Source organism: Homo sapiens, chromosome 6 (assembly GCF_000001405.40).
Source record: "Homo sapiens chromosome 6, GRCh38.p14 Primary Assembly".
NCBI lineage: Eukaryota > Metazoa > Chordata > Mammalia > Primates > Hominidae > Homo > Homo sapiens.
The window spans coordinates 43,604,512-43,613,489 of record NC_000006.12 but is presented as its reverse complement, the minus strand read 5'-3'; the positions used below and the strand labels follow the sequence as shown (position 1 = coordinate 43,613,489).

The following is an 8,978-nucleotide window of genomic DNA, read 5'->3' as shown; positions in this document are numbered from 1 at the left end:
CTCAAACGTTAATGTGTATCAGAGATTAACAGACCTGGGATGACAGAGAATTTAATTTCCTAGGTGATGCTGATGTTATGTCTTGAGAACCACTAATTTAGCAACCACTCACCTCCCGACAGCTAGAGATTATTGTTTTTTATAAGGTACCACTGGAAAGCTGCTGTAATTCAGGGTTGGGGCAAGAAATTTTATTCAGGACAACAAAAAGCTTTAGAATATTTAGACTAGAAAGACTTGAAAAAATCCTCTTAGCCATTATCCTGTTTTTAAACAGGGCACTACCTAACCCTGACTGACTTACCACTCTGGAATTTCTAGAGAATGAAATTCCACAACTGCTTTTCGTTACTAGTCCCAATTTCAGAAACATTTTAAGAAATTCTTGTGATAGCCGGGAGCGGTGGCTCACACCTGTAATCCCAGCACTTTGGGAGGCTAAGGCGGGTGGGTCATGAGGTCAGGAGTATGAGACCAGCCTGACCAACATGGTGAAACCCCATCTCTACTAAAATACAAAAATTAGCTGGGTGTGGTGACACACGCCTGTAACCCAGCTACTTGGGAGGCTGAGGCAGAAGAATTGCTTGAACCCGGGAGGCAGAGGTTGCAGTGAGCGGAGATTGCGCCACTGCACTCCAGCCTGGGTGACAGAGCCAGACTCCCTCTCAAAAAAAAAAAAAAAAAAATCAGAAATTTTTGTCATAAAGTTCCTCATTGTGTCTAATCACTCAAATTTTCACATAAGCTGAATTTCAGAAGATGAAATATGCTTTTATGTACAGATTAGTCCTTCAATGAGGTAAAGGGTAAATGTCATTTTAAAGTTATTATTACACTATTGGCCGGGTGCAGTGGCTCACGCCTGTAATCCCAGCACTTTGGGAGGCCGAGGTGGGTGAAACACCTGAGGTCAGGAATTTGAGACCAGCCTGGCCAACATGGAGAAACCCTGTCTCTACTAAAAGTACAAAATTTAGCCGGGCGTGGTGGCGGGCACCTGTAATCCCAGCTACTCAGGAGGCTGAGGCAGGAGAATCGCTTGAACCCGGGAGGCAGAGGTTGCAGTGAGCCGAGATTGCGTCACTGCACTCCAGCCTAGACAACAAGAGCGAGATTCCGTCTCAAAAAAAAAAAAAAAAAGTATCCCAATATCCTCAGGTTTCATGCTTTGGGACAGTCTTATAATCAGATAATTTTGATGCTTCCCTGTGCATCACGGAGTTTCACACCGTTGGTGAGTAGTATTTGTTATAGTTTGTCAATTTATAACTTTTCAAATAAGGTTTCATGTGTACATTAGTACCACGGTTGTTATTTGGTTTTGTAAAACTTCAATATTTGAAAATAAATATATCAGGAAGTATTAAGTAAATTATTCTCAGAACAAAGACTTTATTTATTTATTTATTTATTTGTTGTTGTTGTTGTTGGAGACGGAATTTCGCTCTTGTTGCCCAGGCTGGAGTGCAATGGCGCAATCTCGGCTCACCGCAACCTCCACCTCCCAGGTTCAAGCAATTCTCCTGCCTCAGCCTCCCAAGTAGCTGGGATTATAGGCATCCACCACCATGCCTGGCTAATTTTTGTATTTTTAGTAGAGACAGGGTTTCACCATGTTGGCTGGGGTGCTCTTGAACTCCTGACCTCAGGTGATCTGCCTGCCTCGGCCTCCGAAAGTGCTGGGATTACAGCCGTGAGCCACCGCGCCCGGCCCTATGAACAAAGACTAGGAGACTCCACCATATTATAGGTCTGTACACATAATTATACTGCCAATATATTTAGATAAGTAATAAGCGATTAACTAAACTTTGATTTTATTTTGTATAATATTCAATATACATCTGTAAGTGAGCAACTGACTTACCTCTCTCTCATAATTATATTTCTATTGTGAATTTGGAATACTTTAAAAAAAGTAAGGGCTTTATTAAATATGCAATTAAAGGATTCCAATCCTGAAAATCATTAATATCTGGACAGAAAATGAAGATGCTCCAAAAAGAGGCTTATATTTCATGACCAACAGAAGTGAAGTTTACTAATGAATATGACATTTGGTATAATACCAGTGGAGCTTGTAACTGAGTTGGGATGTCAGATAGAGAATATCAGTGAACACAGGTCACCTTTATAATCAAGAAATATGCTTTTAAGATAGAACAATCAAGTAGTTTGAAGTTCCCAAATGTATCCTTGAAATTTGAGCTCTGTTCTCCAAGTGCAACTGGTCATTTCCCTGACCAAGCCAATACAGAGTAAGGGTCTAACCTCCTGGGAACTGGAATGTATCAGCTGTCGGCAAAGGATCTGTGCTGAGCTGTCTTGTTTCTGAGGTTGGTACTGTATTTTCTCCCAGAGTAACAGGTACTGGTAGTCTGAGTCAGAGTCTATCCCAGATGGAAGAGCTCAGATTCCTACTACTTGTAGAGCTAAGACAGAGATTCCTACTACTTGTAGAACTGAGACAGACCTCAGGTGATTCACCCACCTTGGCCTCCCAAAGTGCTGGGATTACAGGCGTGAGCCACTGCGCCCGGCCGATACTTTAATAATAACTTTAAAATGACATTTACCCTTTACCTCATTGAAGGACTAATCTGTACATAAAAGCATATTTCATCTTCTGAAATTCAGCTCATGTGAAAATTTGAGTGATTAGACACAATGAGGAACTTTATGATAAAAATTATGTCTTGTAGAGCTAAGACAGAGCTAAGAATCATCATCTATTCTGAGAAGATGAGCTAGAAAAGAACTCACCATTCTGTCTGGATTCCAGAAGTATTACAGTTCTTGATGACAGTAAATGCATCATGGCTCATCTTGTGAGCATCATAGCGGGTAAGGGCACAGCAGCGGCGCAGGCTGCTGAGGCGTTTGTCTCCTTGTACACGAATGCTCACAACCAGCTGGGTGGCTACCCTGTCATTCTGTGGGTGGAAAGGATGGAGACCAGAAATAAAGTTATGAGGAGCATCTGAATTCTAGGTACTGAACTGCAGGAGAGGAAATTAAAAGAACCAGGGTGACAATGGTTTGGAAACAGTAGTTTAAAAGTCAAGAATAAAGGTAAACTGAGTTCTGCAAAGAGTAAAGATAAAATATAAAAAAGAGAAAGAGGCCAGGCATGGTGGCTCACGCCTGTAATCCCAGCACCTTGGGAGGCTGAGACAGGTGGATCACCTGAAGTCAGGAGTTCGAGACTAGCCTGGCAAACATGGCGAAATCCCATCTCTACTGAAAAATACAAAAAAACTAGCCAGTCGTGGTGGCAGGCACCTGTAATCCCAGCTACTCGGGAGGCTGAGACAGGAGAATTGCTTGAACCTGGGAGGCAGAGGTTGCAGTGAGCCAAGATGGTGCCACTGCACTCCAGCCTGGATGACAGAGCAAGACTCTGTCTCAAAAAAAAAAAAAAAAAAAAAAAGAATCTATATATATGCAACAGAATGCATTTTCTGAATAGAAATCTGATTACATGGTTCCACAAAAAAGTGTTAATGCTATTTCTGGGTGTAAAAAGTAACTGAAGAAGACATAATTTGGATTATGGAACATCGGAGTATCCTAGGATGTTTTGACAGATGATGGGAACAGGACAGCACAAATGAAAATGGGACTCCCCTAAATGTTTTTCATGGTGTCTAAGCAGGACAATTATAACAAATATCTACAATACTAGATACTATTTTGTGACTGAAGGAAGGTTTCAGGTAAGTAATTGTCTGAAAGCAAAGTGGAACTAGGCTTCAAGTCATATCTTTTTTTCTGCCCTGGGGCTCTTATGGTAAACAAACATTCGCCACCAATTCCAGAAGTTTCTACCAACACCTTTTTACAGCTTATCTAGAGAAGATACCATATAGTGAGCCTGCCTTGAGAGAGCAAGATCATGACTCACTTTTCAGTGAAGTCTGAAGCATCTGAATGCTGTAATCTCAGCAAACTGAGACATAATGGTCAAGAGGCAGAAATATAAGAAGGTGAAAATTCTACATAAGGGACCCCTATCAAAAGATGCTAGTGAGAAGAAGTATCCCTAAGGCAAACAAGCTAAGAGCAGGAACTACTTTTTGGATAAAAAATACATTTGTATGGATTTATATATCTTGAGGGAATACAAATTAGCAATTATAAAGGAGTCCTTGTTGACCAAAATTATTCAACTATAACTGCATGCCTAGACAGTGCCTAGAGATGCAGGAGAGAACAAAATAAAGTCCAGGTCCTCATGGATCCTATGTTGTAGTAGGAACTATAGATAATAAAAAATAGACATGTAACAGAAATGACCACAGAGATGAGTGCTATGAAGAAAAGCAGAATAAGGCAGAGAGTGATGGAGGCTGCTGCTGTGATAGGGTAACTAGGGAGGACCTCCTGGAGAATGTAATACATGCACAGAGATTTGAATAAATCAAGGAAGCAAATATTAAGAATATATGAACAAAGAGTCTCCAGGGCAAAGAAACGGGAAGTGCTAAAGTAAGAGCTTACTTAGTGTGTTAGATAAAGGGAAGGAGGCCAGTGAAGTGGAGACTAGAATAAGTGAGGGGAAGATAAGAGATGGGGTCAGAGAAGTAGCAAGAAATTAGATTATATTTGGCTTTATAGAATTACTTTTAAAAAATTCCTTAATATGCCTTAAGTGTGAAGGGAAACCACTGGAATGTTTTAAACAGTGAAGTGATAGGATCTGCTATGTCCTGAATTATTTTTGGCATAAAGTCCTTTGAAGCTTAAAAGATAGATTTTCAGGGATCCCCACTGGATACAAAGAGGGAAGAAAAGGCTAGGCACAGTGGCTCATGCCTGTACTCCCAGCACTGTGGGAGGCTAAGGCAGGAGGATTACTTGAGCCCAGGAGGTTGAGGCTACAAGGCTGCAGTGAGCTAAGGTTGTATTACTGTGCTCCAGCACGGATGACAGCCAAGACCCTGTCTCTTAGGAAAAAAAAGTGGAAAGAAAGGCCCCAGGGACTTAGAGAGAGATGAGAAACAAGTGCCACCTAGTGGGCAAAAGCGGAAAAGGGCGATAACGCAACTGGATCAAATCCCTCTTTATGATGCCTACCAAAGGAACAAACATTTACCACCCATTCCAGCTAAAAAGGAGCAACGAGCAGTTTTGGACTATTCTTGACATGTACAGTTGACTTGTAGAACTCCAAGACATTTCAAAAGAAGAGGATGCATCAAACAATACCATTAGGAAAGTGAGAAGAAAACCCACAGAATGGGAGAAAATATTTGCAAATCACGTATCTGACAAGGGACATGTTAAAACTCAATAATAAAGAGACAACCCAATTTAAAAAAGGGGAGAGGATTTTTGTTTTTTCTTTTTTATTTTTGAGGTGGAGCTTTGCTCTTGTTGCTCATGCTGGAGTGCAATGGCGCAATCTCGGCTCACTGCAACCTCCACCTCCAGGTTCAAGCGATTCTCTTGCCTCAGCCTCCTGCGTAGCTGGGATTACAGGTGCCCGCCACCACGCCCAGCTAATTTTTGTATTTTTAGTAGAGACAGGGTTTCGCCATGTTGGCCAGGCTACCCTCGAACTCCTGACCTCAGGTGATCTGCCCACCTCGGCCTCCAAAAATTTGAGCCACCACGCCCGGCCCAGGAACAGGATTTCAACAAACATTTCCCCAAAGATATACAAATGTCCAACAAGCACATGAAAAGATTATCAGAGAATGTAAGCCAAACCATAATGAGATACCATTTCACACCCACTAGAATGGCTAAAATTTAAAAAGTCAGTAACAAGGATGTGGAAAAATTGGAACCCTCTTACATTGATGGTAAGGATGTGAAATGGTGTAGCCACTGTGGAAAACAGTCTGGCGATTCCTCAAAATGCTAAACATAGAGTTAACATATGACCCAGAAATTATACTCCAAGGTATATGCTGGAAAGAAAACAGGTGTCTACACAAAAACTTGTAGATGAATGTTCATATCAACATTATTCATAATAGCCAAAAGTGGAAATATACTCAAATGTCCATTCACTAATAAGTAGATAAGCAAAATATGGTATATATTAATACAATAGAATATTATTCAGCCATAAAAAGGTGTCAGTCCTGGCCGGGCGCAGTGGCTCACGCCTGTAATCCCAGCACTTTTGGATGCTGAGGCAGGAAGATCACAAGGTCATGAGATTGAGACCACCCTGGCCAACATGGTGAAACCCTATCTCTACTAAAAATACAAAAATTAGCTGGGCGTGGTGGCGCGTGCCTATAATCCCAGCTACTCGGGAGGCTAAGGCAGCAGAATCACTTGAACTGGAGAGGCGGATGTTGCAGTGAGCCGAGACTGCACTACTGCACTCTGGCCTGGTGACAGAGCGAGACTCCGTCTCAAAAAACAAAAACAAAACAAACAAAAAATGACTAAGTACTAATACATGCTACAATACGGCTGAACCTGAAAACATATTAAGTGAAAGACTTCAAGCCAGTCACAAAAGACCACATATTTTCACAAAAGACCACATTTATATGAAATGTCCAGAACAGTTAAGCAGTGTAGTGGTTGCCTAGGGCTGGGGAGTAGCTGGGAGAGAAATGGGGAGTGACTGGTAATGGGCACAGGATTTCTTTTGGGGGGTGATAAAAATGCTCTAAAATTGTAGAATAGTTGTAGAACTCTGCAATATACTAAAACCACTGAATTATTTTAAATGGGTGAATTTTGTGGTATGTAAAGTATATGTCAATAAAGCTATTTAAAAAGGAGAGAGAAACTGCCGGGTGCGGTGGCTCATGCCTGTAATCCCAGCACTTTGGGAGGCCAAGATGGGCAGATCGCCTGAGGTCAGGAGTTCGAGATCAGCCCAGCCAACAAGGTAAAACCCCGTCTCTACTAAAAATAAAAAAATTAGCTGGGTATGGTGGCAGGTACCTGTAATCCCGGTTACTCGGGAGGCTGAGACAGGAGAATCGCTTGAATTTGGGAGGTGGAGGTTGCAGTGAGCCAAGATTGCTCCACTGCACTCCAGCCTGGGCGATAGAGCGAAACTCAGTCTCAAAAAAAAAAAGGAGAGAAACTAATCATCAGATGTCTTTAACATTAGAAAGAAAAATGTACAATGCTCAGAATTTTTTTTTTAAGTCAAATATACAGAGATAGAGAATAAAACAGTGGTTACCTGGGATGGGGGAGGGGAGGAGGAAATGGGGAGATGTAAGTAAAAGGATATAAAGTAGCAGACACGTAGGGTGAACAAGTCTATTGAGCTAATGTACAAGTGAGGACTATAGTTAATAAAATTCTATTAGAGATTTTAAGTAGATTTTAACTACTTTTTTTTTTTTTTACAAAAAAGTATGTGAAATGATAGATACGTTAATTTGCTACACTATAGTAACCATTTTACTATATGTATCCCATAGCATCATGTTGTAAACATCAAATATACACAATAAAATGTGCTTAAAACTGCCACTACTGGCTGGGCGTGGTGGCTTATGTCTGTAATCCCAACACTTTGGGAGGCTGAGGTGGGCGGATCACCTGAGGTGAGGCATTCAAGACCAGCCTGGCCAATATGGTAGAACCCCGTCTCTACTGAAAATACAAAACAAAAAATTAGCCGGGTGTGGTGGTATGTGCCTGTAATCCTAGCTACTTGGGAAGGTGAGGCAGGAGAATCACTTGAACCCAGAGGCGGAGGTTGCAGTGAGCCAAGATCATGCCACTGCACTCCAGCCTGGGCAGCAAGAGGGAAAACTCTATGTCTCAAAAAAAAATTAAAAAATTAAAAAATTTAAAAAGATTTCTTAAAATTTCCTTGGCTGGAGTTCAAGACCAGCCTGAGCAACCTAGCAAGACCCTGTCTCTACAAAAAATAAAAAAATTTAGCCAGTTGTAGTGGCATGCACCTGTAGTCCCAGCTACTCAGGAGGCTGAGTTGGGAGGAGAGCTTGAGCCTAAGAGGTAGAGGTTGCAGTGAGCCATGATTGTGCCAGTGTACTCAGCCTGGGAGACAGAGTGAGACCATGTCTCAAAAAAAAAAAAAAAAAAAAAAAAGAAAGAAAACGGATATTTCCTATGCTAATACTTTTTTCTGTCTTTGTTCCTGCTCCATAAGGTAAAGAGCAGCTGATATGTAAATTGCAAAGCCCACCCCAGGAATAAAGAAAGAAAATCTTACATCATTTCGGTCTTTAGTCAGTCTCTCCTCTAGTTCCTGGGCTAATTGCAACAGCCACCATTGTACCTAAAAAAGTATTGAGACTTTAATCTTTCATTTAAACACTCGAAGTCTATTAAGAACTAGATGGTGTTATTTGTTCTTTTTTTTCTCCCAAACAGAATTGTGCACCAAAGACTCCCCATAATCAAAGGATCACCAGATCATAGAAATGTTCCCAGTCCTTCTGTCCTGCCCTAGCTCAAGCCTTTCATTTTCTTTTCCTGCTTGTTTGCCATCAGGTGACTTTCAAGCATGTTCCAGCTCTGAGAAAAAGACAAGACCCAAACTTGAAGCATAATATCCTAGGCTTTCCAAGTCTCCATCTACTAAACAAATGAGAAATTCCATTTTATTTCGATAGACGAAAGAGAAAAAAGTAATAATCATAAACTAGTCAATTTTCAACCCAAGGACAGAACATCTGTTTTCTTCATACTTTATAAAGGTCTCCTCTAACCTATTAAACCTTCCACAGCTACCAAAACCTACCCACTGACCCCTTTAAAAGAGGTAGTGTTCTGTCAAGAATGCCAGCTTACCTGTTCCCGAGTAGCAAGAGCTGTTTTTCCTGGGAAGTTCTTACTACAGCCAATGGTTTTGGGTAGTTGCCTGGGTTTAACTGGATCATGTTCAATCCCTCGGCACATGGCATATAGCCAAGACCTAATAAGACCAGCAAAAAACGTTAAGGTGAAATTAAATGATTATTCTTGTTAAAACAAAACCAAATAACTATATTATATTGCCCTTTTATCTTTTTCATGAA

At 41.1% G+C, this 8,978-nt stretch overlaps 1 protein-coding gene across 4 annotated transcripts in view, besides 1 other annotated feature; it reads right to left on the bottom strand.

The window, feature by feature from the left end:
• POLH (DNA polymerase eta) overlaps positions 1-8,978 on the bottom strand; it is a 44,339-nt gene that overhangs the window by 7,034 nt on the left and 28,327 nt on the right. For all 4 annotated transcript variants that reach the window (NM_006502.3, NM_001291970.2, NM_001291969.2 and 1 more), the window contains 3 exons: positions 8,752-8,875; positions 8,171-8,236; positions 2,767-2,936 (listed from right to left, as the gene is read on the bottom strand). In NM_006502.3, the coding sequence (NP_006493.1) occupies positions 2,767-2,936; positions 8,171-8,236; positions 8,752-8,875 (360 nt within the window). The remainder of the gene's footprint in view (positions 1-2,766; positions 2,937-8,170; positions 8,237-8,751; positions 8,876-8,978) is intronic.
• Positions 1,304-1,529: a silencer, noted in NCBI's record as "fragment chr6:43579698-43579923 (GRCh37/hg19 assembly coordinates)". NCBI's record gives its function as "represses an EF-1alpha promoter that drives an FKBP-Casp9 reporter gene in an ReSE screen in K562 erythroleukemia cells {active_cell/tissue: K562}" and the evidence as "EXISTENCE:reporter gene assay evidence [ECO:0000049][PMID:32094911]".